The 19586-nt window shown below is 51.2% G+C and overlaps 1 protein-coding gene and 1 long non-coding RNA gene across 3 annotated transcripts in view, besides 2 other annotated features; both read left to right on the top strand.

Annotated features, from left to right (window-relative positions):
- Nucleotides 1-19586, top strand: part of XKR6 (XK related 6) — a 305789-nt gene that overhangs the window by 132933 nt on the left and 153270 nt on the right. The gene's annotated exons all lie outside the window — the stretch shown is intronic.
- Nucleotides 1812-6249, top strand: LOC101929269 (uncharacterized). Its single transcript, NR_134308.1, has 2 exons — nucleotides 1812-2051; nucleotides 5856-6249. It is a non-coding gene; the product is annotated as an uncharacterized LOC101929269 (long non-coding RNA).
- Nucleotides 8037-8554: an enhancer, noted in NCBI's record as "H3K4me1 hESC enhancer chr8:10917857-10918374 (GRCh37/hg19 assembly coordinates)". NCBI's record gives its function as "activates a minimal SCP1, AML or CMV promoter by ChIP-STARR-seq in naive H9 embryonic stem cells {active_cell/tissue: H9 hESC(naive)}" and the evidence as "EXISTENCE:reporter gene assay evidence [ECO:0000049][PMID:30033119]".
- Nucleotides 9437-9516: a silencer, noted in NCBI's record as "silent region_18920". NCBI's record gives its function as "represses an Ori minimal core promoter by ATAC-STARR-seq in GM12878 lymphoblastoid cells {active_cell/tissue: GM12878}" and the evidence as "EXISTENCE:reporter gene assay evidence [ECO:0000049][PMID:35858748]".

The following is a 19586-nucleotide window of genomic DNA, read 5'->3' as shown; positions in this document are numbered from 1 at the left end:
AAGGGAGGAGATTCTTCCTGACGGGTGCCTTTCTGAAGGAAGAAATCAGTTATGACCAGTTTAGCAGGCACCGAGGGGGCAGGGCCCACCTTGGCCAGGGGTGGGCTGTTCGCTGGTGGGAGCCCATGTGGGTGTCACACCATCAGTGTCCAGCTGGCTGGGTTGGCTGCAGCTCCTGTAGGAGCCTGTGTTCCTGGGAAGCCTCTCTCTGGTGAAAGGCAAGGTGGGCAGGCTGTGTGCAGAGGAGAAACCCACGCTGCCCATGTCCACACAGCTGTGTGGGCACCAGGACCTGCCGAGATGCCATCCCAGGCTGCCTGAAGCAGTAGCTTTCTGCAGAAGAGACAGGGAGGAGAAAGCATTGTGCAGGCACGGAGCAGCAGGCAGGGAAAAGAAGGGATTTTAGTAGATGGCAGGGAAAACAGGGCAAGAAAAAAATGGGAAATGGCTCAAGAATTGTCAGGGTCCCAAACATCTGTGTCAGGACACTAATGGCATTTGGGCAGGACAGTCCTTCATGGAGGGGACCATTGCTCACTGAGAGATGTTCAGCCTGCCCAGCCCCCCACCCACCGTATCCCAGGGATGCCCTTACTCAGTCATCAAGATGACCATAGCCGCCCCCAGGCTGCCTCTAGAGGAGGTGGTCACCAAGGCCCCCTTATCTCCGACGGTCTGAGATGATGGAGCTGGGAGGGGCCCTGGGAGGGCGAGGACAGCCACTGGGCACTCAGTCTCCAACTCTAGGGCCACAAAGAGCAGATGGGCTGGGAGAGGCTGTTGAAGGTGAGTTTTTCCCTAAATCAACACACCACTATTGAGTCAGGTGCTGAGGCCGGCCCTGGAGACAGGAGGAAAAGTCAAATGTGACCCTGAACCCCAGGGAGCTCAGAATCTAGCAGGAGAGGTGGACGAGCAACAGCAACCACCCCACATTCACTCACTATGCAGACCGATGAGGGCATCCTGTCACAGCATTACCCAGTGAGCATGGGCGCGGCTGCAGTCATGGGGAGACCCCCAGGCTCAGTGGTGCAACCCCAGAGCAGTCCTGTGTTCCAGCTGGTAGATGGGGCAAAAAGTGGGAGGCACATCCACCTCTGAAACGCCTGCTCTTGGAAGTGGCAGAGACTCCTCTCCCCATTCTCTGGACCTGCCATGTGGCCACATCCAGCTTCAGGGAGTTTGGGGAGGGGGCCCGGAAAGAAGAGGAAACTGTGTGTGGGCACACACCAACCACCTGTCTCAACTCCCCTCAGCTGGTAACAGGAAGAGAATCAGCACTGTGGGTGGATTTTTCTCCTGGAGAATCTTTACCTTTCAAGAAATGTCTATTATCGCTTGGCCCATGTCTAAGATAAATAATGTTTCACTGTGAGACATAGTCAATAACCACCAAAATATTTTACTAATTTAGAATCCTAGAACGTTAAGGCTCAAAAAGCCCTCAGGGATGGTCCAGTTCAACCCTTTTGATGTTCAAATGGGACTCTGATGCTTCGAGGAGAAGTGCCTGGGTTGAGATCACCCGGGTGGGGGGCTCTGCCCAGGCTGCCACAGTGGCTGCTCCAGGTGTCCGGGAGGCAAGGGAATCCACAGAGGATGCAAGCTCAAGCCAAATGTGCAGGTTTATTTTAGGACCTCAAGCTGCCGCCCCAGGCTCTTGCCCTTGCCCCTGCTGGGAGAGTCAGAGCCGCCTCCTCCTCCTCAGTCAGAATGACTCAGATGCCCGCGTCAGACATTCTCCCCTCCCCACCAGCCTGGGTGACGTCTCTCCGAAACTGTCTGCTCCCTAAGACACAGCTTACAGGCAAGATGAAGCAGTGTCGCACAGCCCTGTCGCCTCACTCATCCTGCCCTCAGGTCTTGTTTCTGCCTCTTCACAGCACCACCCCCATGAAGCTTCCACATGCACCTCTGCAGACCCATCTCGCACGATGCAGTGGGAGCGAGCCCTTGTGGTGAGGTGACAACGGCCCACATATCCCTCAGTGCTGGGGGATGGGAGTGTGGGTTCCGGGGACCACTGTGTGCAGACACCCGTAGCTCAGGTGGGCCTCTCGACTGTTCCCCCAGCCTGTTGCAGGTGGGGAGAGTAAGGTCTGGTTTTTGAAGACCTGGATGTACGTCTTCGGTGAGCTGCTTGAGCCTCAGCTGCCTCATCTAGAAAATGGCCACAATGATTGTAATGCCTCAAAGAACAGTGTATGAGAATGTGATTTGTAAACTCTAAAGTGCTGTCCACGTGCTTTGGAGGAAAAGCTTTCCTCAGGACTGGCCTCGTGAGCTGGTCAAGCAGACTGTGGGACTGGGGCTGTCTTGATTGATTGCTGACTTTGAGTCAGCCTGGGCGGGTGACGTCTCTATTGGATAAATGTGAAAACCAAGGCTCAGAGTGGTTAAGCCACATCCACAAAGGTGCAGAGCCTGCCAGGAGGCAGAACCACAACTAGAATGGAGCAGCTCTGTCACTGTACAGTCCAGGACTTGGTGGCTTATGTCCAAAATCAAGAACAGACAATGTTTCACCAGGGACAGAAATGTCAGTGTATTCCTGAAGATGCAATAGAAATGGTGGGAGGCAGAAAAATTGAGCAGACAGAAATGAAGGCTAAAAATAGTCTGTTTCGAACAGGCAGAGACCAGATCAGTTTGACAGGAGAGAGGGGGTGAGAAGGTTGTCCAGGACTCTGGAATGTGCCTCCCTTGGGCAGAGGCAAGCCACAGGGAGGGCTGTCTTAGAGATAAGAAGGGCTGCTGATTGCTAAAGAACCCATGGGTGCAATTCCCTGGAAGGAAAACTGAAGCAACGGAAAACGCCAAAGTCAGGGTGCATTTGGGGGATGCCAAAGAAGGCGGGGCTTCAAGATGGCAGGGACTTCAGAGAATGCAGAGCCCCCTCTTCCCCAACCCCTTTGCCATTTTATAGCTGGCTAAACTGAAGCTTGAAGAGTGACTTACCCAGGAACCCAGGTACTGTGGGCACACATCCATTGCTTAGCCCTGCCACATTGCCATGTTTATGGGGCACCTACGACGTGCTCAGTTGCTAGGGAAAAACGCCACTGCCTATTTGAGGACAGCTGCTGTGTAGTAGGAAGGCAGGAGCCAGCCCTGGGCTCAGCGGAGGATATTCCAGTTCCCAGGCTGAGTTATCAGGAAAGGCTCCGGAAGAGACCGGACTTTAGCCCGGCTTGGAGGGAAAGATGGAGTTCACGTGGAATGAGAGGAAGGAGTAAGTTGTTCGCAAGCCAGGAAAGAATACTAACCTTCTCGAGGCTGTCTCCCAAAGCAGGGATTTCCCAGGATAAAAAAAAAAACGTATTAAGTAAAAATGCAAATAGAGTGAAAGAAAAAAAAATAAGTAGATGAGACTGCAGTTGGTGTGGCTGATATGACGCTCATCACGGCCACAGAACCTAAATGCCTGGGAAACGTTGCATCCAAGGATAAAGTAATGTCCTCAGTGCAGGCAGAGAGCTGGGTCATATGACGAAGCCACCGAATGGTGGAGCTGGCCAAGGATTTTGAAGATTACATGATAGAACCCCTGGAGAGTTTTTCTAAAGAATAAGGGAACTGACAAGATCCATAAGACAACTTCCTCTCATGGTTCATAGTTACGAAGTGACTATCTTGTAACTGTGGTTAGAAAAAATTCAGCTCTATAATCCTGTGTTTCCTTCTTTGCCATGGGTGCCGGGGAGCTCAGAGCTAAAGTATGTACTCCATTGTGTTCATTACCATGAGTCTAGCCTTTTAAAAGAAAGTTATAGTCAGTCTTCCTTCCACACACATATCCCATTTAGCATGTCTTGTCTTTATTTTTACAATAATGATTTTTTTAAATTTTATGCTGTGTCATATCCTTTTAGCAAATAGGCAGGATGTAAAGAAATATTTTTAAAGTAGTTCAAAGACTTTCTACAAGAGTAACAAAGAGTATAGACAAGTACAGTATGCTTTCTAGTTTTAACCATTGAGGTTTTTGTCACTTCTTCTGTTTTCCTTTTTGCTTTGTCTTTAACACTATTTGCACTTAGCTCAGGGTTCCATTTTGTGCCCAGTGACAATAAGTATCCTTAACCTGGGATACATAGATTCATGGACCTTGCCATTTCCTACAGTGGCTCACATTCTTTCACGTTACAAGTTATTTTTATTATTTGTGTGCCTTCTGTTGTGAACGATTACAATTCTTTTCGGAAGTGGAAGAATTATAAATGCCTGGAGGGAAAAGAGAATGAAAGAATAGAGTATGCAAGTATCTGAAATGTCTGAGGAAACTTGACAGAAGTTGATTTATATTTGACAGATGGCAGAAAATGAAAAGTTTAATGAGGGAAAAGCTGAGAACAAGTCAGTGACAATTCTTGCGGTATGCTTTTGACTAAGCACTTTATTTCTTTCTATAAATTATTCTGCTTCCTTTCTTTTAAGATGTTGGGGCTTTCTTCCCTCTTGGCACGATAACGGATTAGGAACTATGTGATCAGATGATGGCCCATGACCACGAGGGGTAGAAGAGTCAGGATGAAACAGCTGGTTAAACAGTTTTAGTTTGTTTTTCACAAGGCTCTAATTAACTGAGGCAGAGATGGACAGGAATGGAAAGGAAAGCTTTAGCCTCTCTTTCCTAGCTGAAAGATTAATGGGGAGGGAGTGTGTCTCAGAAAATAAGTGGGGTTGTGTTTGGAGCACTGGGAAGGGAGGAAATGCATGAAAGATGAAACCATTTATTGGGAAAGAAACAGGAAATGGGGCAGAGCAGAGTGAGACTGTAGGACGCAGGAAAGCAACACGAGGAAGTGATACATGAAAGAGAGAGAACCCAAACGCAGTAGAAAGGGAAGGACTGATGGATGTTGATATAGAAGAGAACTTCGGAAGGTTGTATGAAATAGAGGCGGAACAAGGCACTCAGTAAGCTTTTTGTCAGACCCGATGGCAAGTTCAGAAGATTGAGGGAAATTATTAGCTTGAGGAAAAAGTTCAAAGAGAAAGAGATGCATTCTGGGGCCATCAGTTAAATCCCAGTGTCGAGTAGCCTCTATGGGGAGATTTGACGAACAGCAAATGGAGAGTATCTGTGGCCAGGTGCAAGTTGCAGGTGGGAAAGAGAATGGGGGGATTCCAAAAAATGTTACTGAGCCAAGCGTATCAGGAATTCTTAGAACTCCTCATCTCCGTGGATGTTCCTGGCATCGGCCTCTCCCCATATATTAAAATTTAACCCTTACTGGTACCTCCCCTACCCAAGCCAGGCTTGCCAGCCATGTTTTGCATATACATGTTTGTGCTGGACTAATGCTGGGTGCTGTAATAATAGATCAATGCCATAACATAATCTCAGTAGCGTAATAGGACTTTTTTTTTTTTTTTTTGAGACAGGGCCTTGCTCTGTCACCTGGGGAGCTGGGGAGGAATAATGCAGAGGTGAGATGGTGAGATCGTAGCTCAGTGCAGCCTCCAACTCCTGGATGCAAGTGATCCTCCCACCTCAGCCTCCCAAGTAGCTAGGACTACAGGTTCACACCACCACACCTGGCTAATTTTGTTTTGTGGGATTTTTTTTTTTTTACTTTTTGTTCTTTCTTTACATTTTTTTAACTTTGATTTGTTTTTCTTTATTAGTTCTGTCCCTCTGAAGACAAGCTAATCTTATTTTATGTTACCTTATTTATTTATTTATTTATTTAGGTAGAGACGGGGTCTCACTTATGTTGTCCAGGCTGGTTTTGAACTCCTGGCCTCAAGTGATCTTCCTGCTTTGGTCTTCTATGGCAGTAGGATTACAGCCATGAGCCACTGCACCCAGCCTTAATAGGATTTAAATTTATTCCTTGTCCATATAGGAGTCCAAATGCCAATTTGTGGCTGGCATTCCATGTGAGGATTCAAGAACCCAGGCTCCTCCATCCTCCATCTCCAGGGGCTCTGGAGTCCTTCACTTCTAGCCAATGCATGAAGAAAGAGAATAGAGAATTACCTGTGGGGGAATTTCAGTACGACGTCTGGAAGGGACACCCACTTCCACTCACCTCCCATTGGCTAGAACTCAGGCGCACGGCCACGCTGATTGCCGAGGAGGCTGGGAGGTGGGGCTGGCTCTGTGCCCAGGGAAAAGAGAGAACAATTTCTGTAAGTACGTAGCTGTTTATGTCACAGTATTTAAAAAAAGAGTTTGTTCCATAAAATAGATGAAACTCTAACTAAAAACCAGATCACATTAAAGAGTAATTATGTTTACTATTGTGGGATTCTTTGCTTTTAAAAGATCTAGATAAATTGTTTTAACTAGAAGCTCTCCCTTGCTAGTGCATTTAATCAGCCAATCAGCCCCTGTTTTGCCTGGGTCTTTGCTGGATCGGGCAGGTAGAGGAGAGATGGTGATAATGAAATACCTCCTGACCTCATGGAGCTGGATGTATTGGTGTGTGTGCATTTGATTTATAAGATCTTACTAGGGAGATAAGGAGAGTTGGGGCTAAATGAAGGAACATACAAATAAAGGCATCAACCTAGGAGGAGATCTGATTCCATTTATAAATATTCGGCTTACAGATCATATGTCACAGTTGGCCCCCTGGGTCTTTTGAGAAGCCTGCAGCTCCTCCCCACTCTCTGGCCTTGGCTCCCAGGCCTCTTGGCATGTGATAGTTTGTGTTGCTCTCTGTGGTCCACTTCCCCCAGCGCCTGGGCACGGACTAGCCCAGGGCAGGATGGGCCGATGTGTGCAGCTTCTCCTCTTGTCCTGTCATACTTCCAGATGGGATATTATTTGCTGTCTGCTGTCAGGTCTGGTTTCTCTGAGCATCCTGGTTTTCCCATCCTGTCTGTCCCATGGAATGCAGTGCTTTCAGATGATTTTCCCCTGGATGTATGAGCCAGTCACTGTCCTGGTTTCACCCTGTTAGAATTCTTGCCTTCTCTTTGGAGGGAGGAGCAGGGCCAGCCGAGGGACACAGGCAGGGAAGCTAAGAGCAGCAGCAGCTGATGCTGGCCGCGTCCTTGCCTGACCCAAGCACACAGACTCATTTTAACAGCCTCCAGTGATGTCCTCGCCCCATCACCGATGGCTGCCCTCCTGCCTCTTCTTCAGCCCAGCCCCCTTCCTTCTTCTCATTCTTTGGGCCAAGTGGGTTTAATGGGCTGGCCTCGTCCTGGGCTTCTGCTCCTGGAAGAGGGGAATGGATGTTTAATTCTCTTTCCTCTGTACTTTCACAGCCCCCAGGACATGCCCTCCCACCAGGCCAGGGTGGTCTTTCAGGGCATGTTGAATGAATGAATGAATGAATGAATGAACGGATGTGCATGAGGGAGACACTCACCCAGACAGGCCTGTGCTTCTGCAACATGGGATTGTCAGATGGTGGCTTTTAGTCACAGTGTCTGTTCCCATTTTTACTGGTTCAGAAATTTTTTTTTTTTTTTGAGACAGGGTCTCACTCTGTCACCCTGACTGGCATGCAGTGGCATGATCACAACTCACTGCATCCTCAGCCTCCCCAGGTTCAGGTGATCCTCCCACCTCAGCCTCCACAGTAGCTGGGACTACAGGTGCACACCATCACGCCTGGCTAATTTTTGTATCTTTTTGTAGAGATGGGGTTTTGCCATGTTGCCCAGGCTGGGCTCAAACTCCTGGGGCTCAAGCAATCCTCTCACCTGGGCCTCCCAAAGTGCCAAGATTACAGGTGTGAGCCACCACACCCAGCCGATTCAGAATTTTGAAAACAGCACTCTCCAAGTGGACATCTATTCTGCTTTAGCCCCAGCAAGGAACCTTTGCCATTCATGGTGCTGTGTCCCAGCTGTTTCATCCAGAGCTGGCAGACGGGCCATCTCCAACCCTCAGCCCTAGGTAGACGTTGGCTTCAGAATACAGGCTTTAGACCTGGCTCCAAACCCAGCCTTGGAGATGTTGGGCAAGTTGTTTCTCCTTGTTGAGCCATTATCTGTAAAATGGGGATAGGGGATAAGAATATTTACCCTTCATCAGGGTTTGTATCAGGATCAAAAGAGGTATTTCCCTTATGGCACACTTGCTATCACTGGAATTATTTTGTCTCTCCTCATCTACGAGACTTGTTCTCTGCTGCATCCACAGAGCCCAGTGCAGGGCAGGATGTAATAAGTATTTATTGGATGAATTGCCAGAGAAACACCAAACTCAGCATTTGGCGCCTAGTAGGCAGGCATTGAATAGCGGTGATTCCTGTCCACTTTGTCTTCCCTGTCTTCCCCTTCTAGACTGCGAGCTCCTTTGTGTACGGGAAGTGTAACCTCCTCTTTGTCAGGACTTTGTAACCTCTTAGTCCCTTGTATGCAGGAGAAAAACCCAAACAGACCAATAATCATGTAGAAACGAGTCCCTGGGCATCCGAGGATCAGGTCAGGGTCTCCCACAACTGTCCCCCTGGGAGTACAGGGAGCACCCCTAGTTCCCGGCGGGTGGCGCCATCAAGGCACTGCGGGGCTGCGGAGGAGGCAGGGGCTCTAGGTTTAGCATGGTCTAGGGAAGGTCTGCAGTGCAGGCTGGATGCGGGGAGGCCTGGAGAGGTGGAGGCGTGGAGGCATGGAGGCAGGGAGGCGGGAGGAAGGGAAAGCCCTGCTGCTGGCTGTCTCCTCCCCACACTAGCTGTCTCACCAAAGTCTGGCTATTAGTCACTGTCCAGATGTCACTTCCTTTTACCTGCTAGCACCCCTAAGCCCAGAACTTGGGGTTCTCTTTATCTCCGCCTGCCACCCTCCCCAAGCTCTGATCCAACCCTGAGCTTGTGGCTGCTGTGGGGAGTGGAGGTAAAAATGGTAACACCAGAAGTGCACTTACATCAGAATGCTTTAAAAGAATGGAATTATTACTCCCTGGAATGAATTTTAAACCAGACCTTATTGCCTGTATCTGGCCACTGTCAAGAAGGGGAATCCCCTGAGTTGGGCGAGCTATTGGACTTAGAGATTTTGTGAAATGCCTAACACCCATCCTGTCACCTTCAGGGACACTGCAGGAGCGTTGTTTTTTAGGTGCCACCCTGCGCGCCACCTCCCTTCATCCTGAACACTCCTGGATCCTGGAAATGCTCTTGTCCCCGTGGACCGCGCTCCAGCGGGGTCGCGCAGGGGGTTACAGCGGGTGAGAGGGAGCCGCGGGGCGGGGTCCGGGGGGCGCGGGCCGGGGAGCCGGGGAACAGAGACGCGCCTGTCCCGCCCCGCGCCCGCCGCACCTGTCCCGCCCCGCGCCCCCCGCACCTGTCCCGCCCCGCCCCGCGCCCCCCGCGCCCCCAGCGCCCTGCTCCTCCTCCACTGGCACCGCCGCGCGCCTGGAAGAGGAGCCGAGCTCTTGTCGCTCGCCGGGCCGGGTTGTAAACAAACACTGGAGCGGCGCCGCCCGCGCAGCAGATGGCTCCGCAGCTGCCTGTCGGGCGGGGCCTCCTTCTCGGCGCCGGCGCGGGGACGCGGAGCTGAGCGCTGCCCTCGGCCGGGGACTCCCTTCGGGCGCCAGCCCGGCTCCAGTTCGCTGGGGGCTGGAGAGGGAAAACGCAAGCCAGAGTCTCCGGGGCGCTCATACCTTTTACTTCCGTCATTCGTTCCTTCATTCATTCGCTCAACAAAGATTTCTGAGGCGCCAGGACCGCGCTGGGCCCGGCCTACACGACGCTGGCCAGCGCAGGGGGTCGCAGCTTGGGGAGCGCAGGGGCAGAGCGCCCAAACCGCGGGAGCCCTCGAAACCCTGGCCGCCACGCCGTGGATGCAGGCTCTGGGATGCTGGGCCTGAAAAGCTCTTGGTCTGGATAGGAGGCCTGGGATTGGATTCAGGCACAGGTGGGTGAGAGCCTGGTCCTGCCCCGCTTTCTGGCCCAAGGGCTTGGGCCGCTATTTCAACTTTCTGAGCTTCAGTTTCCTGTTCTGTAAAGCGGGGATAATCCCACCCACCTGGCTGCGAAGTTGTACAGATTAAGAACAATGTGCATTTGTGTTTTCTTCTGTACACCTTCGCGTTTTCTAAATATCCCACAGTGACTATACATTCCTTTCTTTTTTTAAAAATTTTACTAAGTTCTGGGATACATGTGCAGAACATGCAGGTTTGTTACATAGGTATACATGTGCCGTGGTGGTTTGTTGCACCTATCAACCCGCCATCTAGGTTTCAAGCCCCGCATGCATTAGGTGTTTGTCCTAATGCTCTCCCTCGACTTGACCCCAGCCCACGACAGGCTCCGGTGTGTGATGTTCCCCTCCCGGTGTCCATCTGTTCTCATTGTTCAGCTCCCACTTATGAGTGAGAACATGTGGTGTTTGGTTTTCTGTTCCTGTGTTAGTTTGCTGAGAATGATGGCTTCCAGCTTCATTCATGTTCCTGCAAAGGACATGAATTCATCCTTTTTTATGGCTGCATAGTATTCCATGGTATATATGTGCCACATTTTCTTTATCCAGTCTATCACTGATGGGCATTTGGGTTGGTTCATTTACGTAGCAAATAGCCTTTGCTATTGTAAATAGTGCTGCAATAAACATACGTGTGCATGTGTCTTTATAGTAGAATGATTTATAATCCTTTGGGTATATACCCAGTAATGGGATTGCTGGGTCAAATGGCATTTCTGGTACTAGATCCTTGAGGAATCGCCACACTGTCTTCCACAATTACATTCCTTTCAAAATGAGAAAAAAAATGTTGCAGGAGATTCACTCTCCCTCCCTACTTAAAAATTCACCCATTCCGACTTAAAGATACCACCGCCTCCCACATGGGTCACGCTGGGTGCTGGCAGAACACAACTCAAATGGGGGAGACCCAGTCCGATATTTAGTCCTCGAATATTCTAGAATAGATCCTGGGACTAAAATAAGTTGGGGATGAAGGTGGTCATTTAGAGTTAAAGGCAACACATGTGCCACAGACATATGACAAGACACAGACACAATGATTTTCAAGCTATTTTCTTTCTCTTCCTTCATTTAACAAGCACTCATTACACCTTCAATGTCTGTCAGATGCGGCAGGTGCTCAGCGCTGTGATTCATGTCTGTGCATTGTGTCCTCAGGAACTCCTCATTTAGTAGTAAGAGGTAGGTATGAATGTAATAAAAGGTTAAAAAAAGGCCCAAGGCCCCACTGAAGGAGTCAGGAAGAGCATTGTGGAGGAGGTGAGGTTTGACAGGTGGGCATTGAAGGTGAGGACAGGAACAGATGGTGACGTCAGACCAAGCTTGGACACAGTCGCCAATGGAGCCTGGGTCCTTCCTTCATTCCACCCAACACAGGGACTCCTGCTGAACAAAACTACACCCGCCCAGCCTCTGTGACCGTGGGAACTCATGGGAATGCCTCACATGTGTGAAATGAGGGCAAAACACTTACCTCAGCGTGTTGTCGTGAGGATGAGCCACGACGATGCACTTGACAAGGGCAGAACACTGGGACTACTGGACAAATGTCACTTCTCGTCCATTTGTTCATTCATTCATTCGAAAGGTGGTTTTTGAGCCTCTCCTTTGTGTCAGGCCCTGTTTGTTTCAAAGCAGTGAACAAAACAGACAAAAAGCCCTCTCATGCAAGCTTACATTCTAGTGGGGGAGGGAGACAGAGAATACCAGAAATAAATAAGGTATCTAGTGAGTTAGACAGTGACAAGTGTGACAAAGACACATAAAGCAGGCAGTGTGGAGTAGGGGGGCTCCTTATAGAGTAATTGATGTTATTCCTTATTCTTTAGTTTGGGTGACAAATAGGATCCATGAAGAGAGGGAGAGTCATAGGAAAATGTTTTGTGCTTCGATTGGGTCGGGGCATCAAGAACGGCTTTTGAGTAAGGATGTGATTTGGGCTGTGCTTCAAGATGGTGACATGGCTGCACCTTGTACGCAGATTGGACAGGCAGCCAAGGACAAGGCGTCAGACGTGGGCTGGTGGGCACCAACGTGGGGGTAGAATCCACCTTGCCTGTGGGTTTCTTAGCCTGGACTGGGAGAAGTGAGACTAGAGACCTGAAGGGTGAGACTAGAGGCCTGAAAGGGGCCAAGAGAGCTGCATCCTCCCAGCTGATCCCCTGGCTGGAGCCTGAGCAGACGGGAGGAGCAGGAAGGCAGATGCACCCAAGACTGCAAGACATGGAAAAGGGCTCAGGCTCCCTCTCCCATTGAAGAAAAGGTAGTGGGGTCACACAGGGTATGAGCACCCTTCAGACTTCACCTAAATCAATGGTGACATTAATTGCTGCACTTGTGTGGCTGCCTCTGTAGACCACTCAGCTTCCAGAACGCAGTGGCCCCAGTGACCTGCCCTTCCCCAGTTCCGGGGAAGCTGGGGTCAGACAGCCAGAGGTGCCTTTATGGGGGTGGTGCTCTTTGAGGAGTTGCATTTGGGGTAGATGAACATCTCCAAACCAAGTGCCAAGAGCCTGCCATGTGCACAGAAATGTCTGCCCACCCTTTTGACACTTTCCGGGTGAACACAGGGGATGTTTACCCAGGAGTTCTCAGAAGAGCCTGTGCGCTGCCGGCGTTCTGGAGCAACTGGGGAACCCACGTTTAGCAATGTGGAGAAGGGAAGGAGATGGGAAAGGAAGGCACTTGTGGGAAATGTAAATTACAGCAATGTAAATAAAGAGCTTCCCAGTAAACGCATAAATAAAAAGCAGGCAGCAATCCCCTGGGAATAGTAATCAGGCTCATTTTGCTTCTGCCTCCCAGTCTGGGGAGCGCAGCAGGACGCCTCCGGAAGCCTCTCTCATCTAGCGCTCCTAGAGGAGGAAGCTCCCCAGCCCCAGCAGCACTGGGTCCAGGAGGAGTCGGGACGTCGTCCACGGCCTCCTATGGGGCATCCAGCAGGGGGCGCCGGTGAGAAGTGGGGCGGGAGAGGAATCCTGAATCGAGACCCAAGGGCTGCACAGGCCCGGAAGCAGGGGGAGGGGGCCTTCAGACAGGCTTCCTGTTGTTGCTACTTGAAATTAGTTTGCCTGGAACACAAAGTGTATGGAGCGGGGGTATGAAGGAAATCAGGTTTTACGAGGAGGTTGTGTGACCAGAACTGTGATCCAGGTTCCCCAGCCCAGGCCTTCTTGCCCACCCCCGACCCATGGCTTTCCTCCCTGTGCAGTGGACTTCGGGGCCCGCTGTGCTGCCTCTACCAGGGGAGGTCACCACGAGGCTGTGCAGGTCATTCTGGAAAGCCCATGTGCCCTGTGCAAGCAAAGTCCTAGGTGAATCCAGGAGGCCCCCGTCCATGCAGTCACCTCCAGCTCCAAACCTGTTATTTGTCAGACAGAGCTGTCCTGGGACGTGGATTTGGGGGCAGCGGCCAGACTTCCCAGAGGGGCTGCTGTGCTGTGAGGCGGGGCGGGCGGAACCCCATGCCGCTCCCTGCAGGGCTGAGGGAGGCCTGTGGCTCTCCTAGACCCAGGAGCCTCCTCAAAGACACCCCTTGACCTGCCTCTAGGCAGGCTCCCCTGAGCCCTCAAGGCCCCGACCTTGGGCTCTGGCCTTGGCCTGCTTACTCCAGTTTTAGCAAGAATCCTGCTGGGTCAGGATTTTAGTGAAAATCCCCCACCCTTGATATCTGATCAGATGCCTCCTCCCCCACCCTAGGGATCTTATTGCCTTGGCCTGCCTGCAGCCTCCATGTTTCCTCTTAGTGATATCCTTTCATCCACCCCACGCTGCTTCTGGGCTGTGAATCTCTACTTTCTTTGTTGTCATCAGAGTTGAGCCCAATCTCTCTCACTTCCTGGAAAACTCCAGGGTAGTAGTCCCTATACTTGGGTGGCAGTCCCCCTGAATAAAGTCAGCCTTACCATTTTAATAAGTGTCGGGAATAATTTTTTATTTAATACCTCCTCCCACAAACATCCAAGCAAAGCCTCTGGGTGTGGCCATCTGCTTGTCTACAGCCCCCTCTGGCTGTGTTTTGACATTCCCCTCCTGCAGAGAAGACAGGATTGGCCTGAGCCCAGGCTTCCACTAGCCCACAGGGCCTTTGCATGAATTAGGAAAGGGCCTCTTCCTTGGGTGGCTCACCTTAGTGTGACCTGGACACCTGTATGAGGTGGGCTGGCCCTCCTCCTCCCAGGAGCTCCCAGGGCCCCAGTGAGCACCACCCTGGCAGCCCCCGCCCTCGGACCCTCACCCACACCAGCAATATCACACCCCGTCCACCCACACTTCCTTCCTCCTTCCCACCCACCAGCAAGAATAGGCAACTGTTCTGGGTTGTTCCCTCAATGGGGGCAGGAATTGGGTTTCCTAAAGGGCTGGCAGGAAGGAGAAGTGACTGCAGGTCCCTCCCGGAGCATGGCTGGGATAGGGCCCTATGAGGCAGGCATGCGTGTGTGCTTATAACATTGCCAGGTGGATTTATGTAGCTCTTCACTGCTACTGCAGGACTCTGTGCCCACCCATGCACTCTCAGATAAGTTGATCTACAACGTAAATGGCACCCCTCCCCAGGACATTGCATATTTGGGCAGTGTGCAACTTGAACACCGGTACATGGACAGATTTCTTGTACAGGGCACATAGTCCTTGAGTCAGGCTTCAGGCCTTGCAGCTTCTGGTGGTCATCAGAGGAAGGTTAGTAGTTAGGACAAACTTACTGTGCGCTCTCTCTTTTCACCTCTGGTCCTGCTCAACACTTGCTGCCCAGATGTGGCTTGCTTTGGAACAATGGCCATGTCCAGAAGAGGGAGGGGGATATGGCTCCCCTTGCATGCAATTCTCTCAAACCTCTGACTTCATTTAACCACCCGCAATGACACCTGCCAGCAACCATGACAGTGCATGCTTGGAACTTTCACCCTTTGATTCCCCACCCAGCATTCCTACCATATTTTATTTCGCACAAAACAGTGTTATCACATAATGTTAGAGGAAATATAAAGAAGGAAAAACATCCACTCCAGTTCTGTCTTTGTAGCCCATTGGTTCAGCAGTTCTTTGCATTTTCCCATGTTCCCTCCAGAAAGCATGTTTGTGCATGGCTGAAAACTCCGTATACACATGTTAAAATCATCAAATTCTAGAGTGCGGAAAGACCTAGGTAATATCTCGCCTTCTCTTCCCTGCTTAGGTGGCATGGTGGGGATGTTTGCTGGAGAGAAGGAATGGCAAAAAGTGAAGTCATGTGGACTGGGGGATGTTTTTATTTTTATCCACAGGACAGCACAAGTGAATCTTGGTCCCTGTGGGAATTCTCAGGAACAGAGGGCTAGAAACAGATTTGATCAATGAAAGCTGGTTCCAGAGAGAACAAGCCGTTGATAAATTCTAGTACTGCCAGTCAATCAGAGCTCATCTGTTTCTGGGAGCCAGAGTCAGGAAGTGGGTGCAGGAGGCGCAGCACCTGCTGGAAGCCGGTGACCAAGACCTGCAGGGATGCCGCCCATCCTCCTGCCATGAATCATTCATTACCTCCTCTGTCTGGGAATGGGGAAGAGATGCAGCTCTCTGGGAGCCAGCTTTCTTTCTAATTAGCACCAGAAGGACCTGGGATTGATCTCTGCTGTGGTTGATGGGTTTACCCTTGTGGCAGGGGAGTCAGGCCGCTCACGGGAGATGGTTAAGCGTGCTGGGCCGGAGACCTTGGGGTTGCTTAATGCAGAGACTTTAGAGACTTTGGAAATAAAATAAGCCCCTTGCCCCTAGCCCTTGCCATCTATGTTTTTTAAGTAGCAAGATGACTGAGGCCTGGATGAGGAAGTGATTCCTCCACAATGGCACATGGCAGCCTATAGCGGATCCCAGCCTGCTGCTCCTGCGCAGTGTCTGCGGGGCTCAGAAGGAAGCCTGCGGTCCCTTGGGAGTCATTGGCTGCACCCTGGGTGCACAGGGTGGCGCGTGGGGGGGTCAGCTGGGCTTCAGCCCCTCCCACCTAGGCTGGACCCCGCGCAGTGCTCTCTGGCACCCCTGACTGAGCCCCTCAGCACTGTGACCAAACATGCCAGACACGCAGCACAGGCCGGGGCTTCAGCGGTGCAGGTGCCCAACAGCCCAGAAGGCTTTCTGCAGGTGGCCAGGAAGCCTAGGAGAGTTTAGCCCCTGCTAGGGGTGCGGGAGTGGGAGGACGGCGGGCAGCAGAGGAATCCTAACGAGCCCTCTAGAGGTCCCCAAGCTTTCCCGGAGTGTGCTGCTCTGGGCTCACTCCCGGTGGGCAAGGCCATTCCAACTGGAAACAGGGGTCGGGGTGGGGGTGGGGAAGAGAGGAGAGGACACCAGCTTTAACTCAAGGTGCGGGCAATGGGGAGAGAAAACCAGGGGGAGAGAGAACTGGGCTCTGGGCTCCCCCACAGGCCAGACAGCCAAAGCCTCACGTCCAGGAACGGGGCTGAAGGAGATGCCCCCACCCTCAGCACACCCATCCCTTCACCAACTCACCCATTCAACAGAGCCTTACCTCGCGCCATCTGCATGCCAGATGCCAGCCAGTGTCGGTCCGGGAGATTCCACAGGGAACTGGACACACAAATTTCCTATCTTCGAGTTTGCATTTTCGTGGGGAAGGCCATAAACAAACAAAAGAGACATTTTCATTTCAGATGACAAGTGCTCTGGGAAACAAGAGCTGGGGGACAGATAGTGCCTTATGGGATGGGGGTGTTGTTTTAGATTCGGGAGTCAAGGGAGGCCCCTCTGAGCTGCTATCCTTGAGCAGATACCTCGGTGGTGGGAAGGAGCACATCAGATCCAAGAAGCCTTCCAGGCAGGAGACCCCAAGCGCAGCTCCCCTGGGGTGGGAACCTGCTTGGAGAGTGGAAGGAGCAGCAGGGAAGCCAGTTTGGTTGGAGCAGAGGGGGTGAGGGGTCTGGGGAAGGGGACAGAGAGGCAGGCGGTGGAAAGAACATTGGATTTTATGCTGAAGTATAAGACTAAGCGTTGAGGGGAGGGAACTTAGAGGACGAATCAACAGGTGCAGCAAACCACCATGGCACACGCATACCTGTGCAACACGCCACCGTGGCACACGCGCACCTCTGTAACAAACCACCATGGCATATGTATACCTATGTAACAAACCTGCACGTTCTGCACGTGTATCCCGTTTTGTTTGTTTGGGTTTTTTTTTGTTTTTGCTTTTTTTTAGAAGAAACACAGAAAAAAAGGCTAAGCTATTGGAGGGCTTTCAGCACTGGAGGGCTGCAGTCTTATTTCAACCTCAAATCCTTCATTCTGGCTGCTGTGTAGGGTGGAGGCAGTGGGGAAAAGCTGCTCGTGAATGGAGTCAGTTAGTATCAGCCAAGGAGATGAGAAGGGAGAAGCCGGCAGATGCAGACATACGTTCTGCAGGTGGGGTAAGAAGGATCAGGCATGGGGCGTGAGGAAAAGAGGAGCCAAAGATTTGCCTTATTTTTTTGGCTTGAGCAACTGGATAATGTGATGGTGTCCTTTACTCCGCTGGGGAAGCCCGAAGGAAGAACAGGCCTGGAGGGGAAAACTTAGGAGTTCAGTTTTGAATTTGGAAAGTTGGAGATGCCTGTGAAACACCCCTGGGGAAGTGTAGGGCTTGGAGATGTCACTTTGGGAGTCATCAGTATCTAGATAATGTTAAAATCCATGGTCGGAAGGAAAGTACCGAGGGGGAGACTGGAGAGACAGGCAGCTGCCGAGGTCTGAGCTTGCCATACCTGGAGGACAGGAGGTGGGGGAACCAGCAGGGTGATCGGGGGCCAGTGAGCTAGAAGCAAACCAGGAAGAAGAAGTGTCTGGAACCCAAGGGAAGAAAGGAGTCTAGCAGATGGGGGGTGATCCACTGAATTAAATGCTACAACAAGGCCAAGGGAGAGGGCTGCTGAGAGCTGGACATCAGACTTGGGAGGACTAAGGGCTTTGGTGACTTTTTGGCAAGAATGAGAGACTGGCAGGGGCTGCTAGTCAATACTGGTAGTTTCTTTGAGACGTTCTGCTCCAAGGCGAAACAGAGAATTAAGGGCCATAGCTGGAGGAGATGTGAGGTCAGAGGATGTTTTCATTTTTGAAATATCTGGGCTGTTATTCTGAGGATGAGGGTGACCACCAGAGAGAAGAGTGGGTGGTGCAGGGAGGAGTGGGGAGCAGCACTGGGGAATGGGGGATAGGTGTTGAGGAATGGGGCCAATGGTTCTGGGGACATGGTCATCCGTCTGTGGGGACATGAGGGAAGAACAGGCAGAGGGCATGTAAGCGAGTGGCTGGTGGTAGAAAACGGAAGCCCTTCTCTACCAAACAGCTCTTCTCTTTGAAAGAAAAATATCCACAAGTGTTCTTTTCCTGCCCAGTAGTTTCTTTTCTCTTTCTTCATAGCTTTTCTGGGATATCAAGTCAGGTTCTCTCTCTCTTTTTTTTTTTTTTTTAAATAAAATGAAAGCTCTTTCTCTCTTCTGTTTCCCTCTCTTTTCTCCCTTTTCTGTCCCTTGGATTTGGCTGGGGACCTAAAAATGTTTCTGTCAACAAACTTGTCTTTTTCTCATTGTTCTTCATAGAGTTGTAGACTGTCGGAGCTGGAAGGGATCTCCGAGACCATCATCCAGGCCCATCCCCTTATTTTACACTGATGAGGAGATCGTGGGGCTTGGAGGGACGAAGTGACTCGCTCCAACCAGGACTTAATGTGAATGCCACGATTGCTGAGATCAGCCGCGATCTCGACGATAGCTGATGTTGGCCATATTCTTGAATCCTGTCGCAGTTACATTGCCCCTCCCTGTATCTGGCACGCTTGTCTCTGTTACTCAGCCAGCTTCACTGAATCTGCGTGTCTCCGTGTGCTAGCCACAACAGCACCGGCCCTGGGAGTAGGAGGGGAATCCATTCCTGATATTCCTTTGTAAATGTTTCTGTTTTGCAAGTGAAAACCCCGAGGACTGGAGCGTGTTGCTCAAGGCCAGGGAGCAGCTCCTAGTGGAAATGCGAGATCTCTGTGGTTGCAGCAATATGATTTCCTCACGAGGGGCCCGGGAAAGGCAATGGACGCTATATTTTGCAATGGTAAATTGAGGCACAGAAGGGGGAAATGTCCTTCTAGCCTCTCTGCAGCAGACACAGTCTTTCTCTCCTGGCTGTGTGTATGCGCTGTTTGCCCCTTAGTGACTCTTGAAGGCCTTTTAAAGCTAAGTAGGAAAAGACTAGAAAAATTCTGCCCAACAGATTTGGTTAACTTTTTTTTCTTCTTCTTTCTCACCCATCATTGAGAGAATGTTTTTGGTTTTTATCAGCCAGGTGTTTCCAGTGTTAACACTGGTGCCTCCCCTGCCAGCCCACGGGGAGGTGGGCACCTCAGCCAGCCTTGGCAGCCCTTCTTGCAGGATGGGTCTCGCTGCCAAGCCTGCTCCAGGGCCTTGATCCATTTCCCTCTCTCTGGGGCTCCCCAGTAAAAAATCCCTCTTAGTGGTGTCAGTAGGGTCTTCAGCTCTTGGTAGGTCTTCACGTACAGCCACCCCTGGAGGAGGCTAATTCCCGCAGCCCCCTGCAGAGAGGCGCAGGGAGCAGCCAGCCCCGGGTCAGGGGCTGTGTTCCATCAGGCATCCACCTGTTCACAAATAGACTCAAATAAAGTCCCAGCCTGGAAGGGCTCTGAACCCTCCTGCCGGGTCATGTCCTGAGAAAAGGGG

This window comes from Homo sapiens, chromosome 8 (genome assembly GCF_000001405.40).
Source record: "Homo sapiens chromosome 8, GRCh38.p14 Primary Assembly".
Classification (NCBI taxonomy): domain Eukaryota; kingdom Metazoa; phylum Chordata; class Mammalia; order Primates; family Hominidae; genus Homo; species Homo sapiens.
This window is presented reverse-complemented; position numbering and strand designations above follow the sequence as displayed.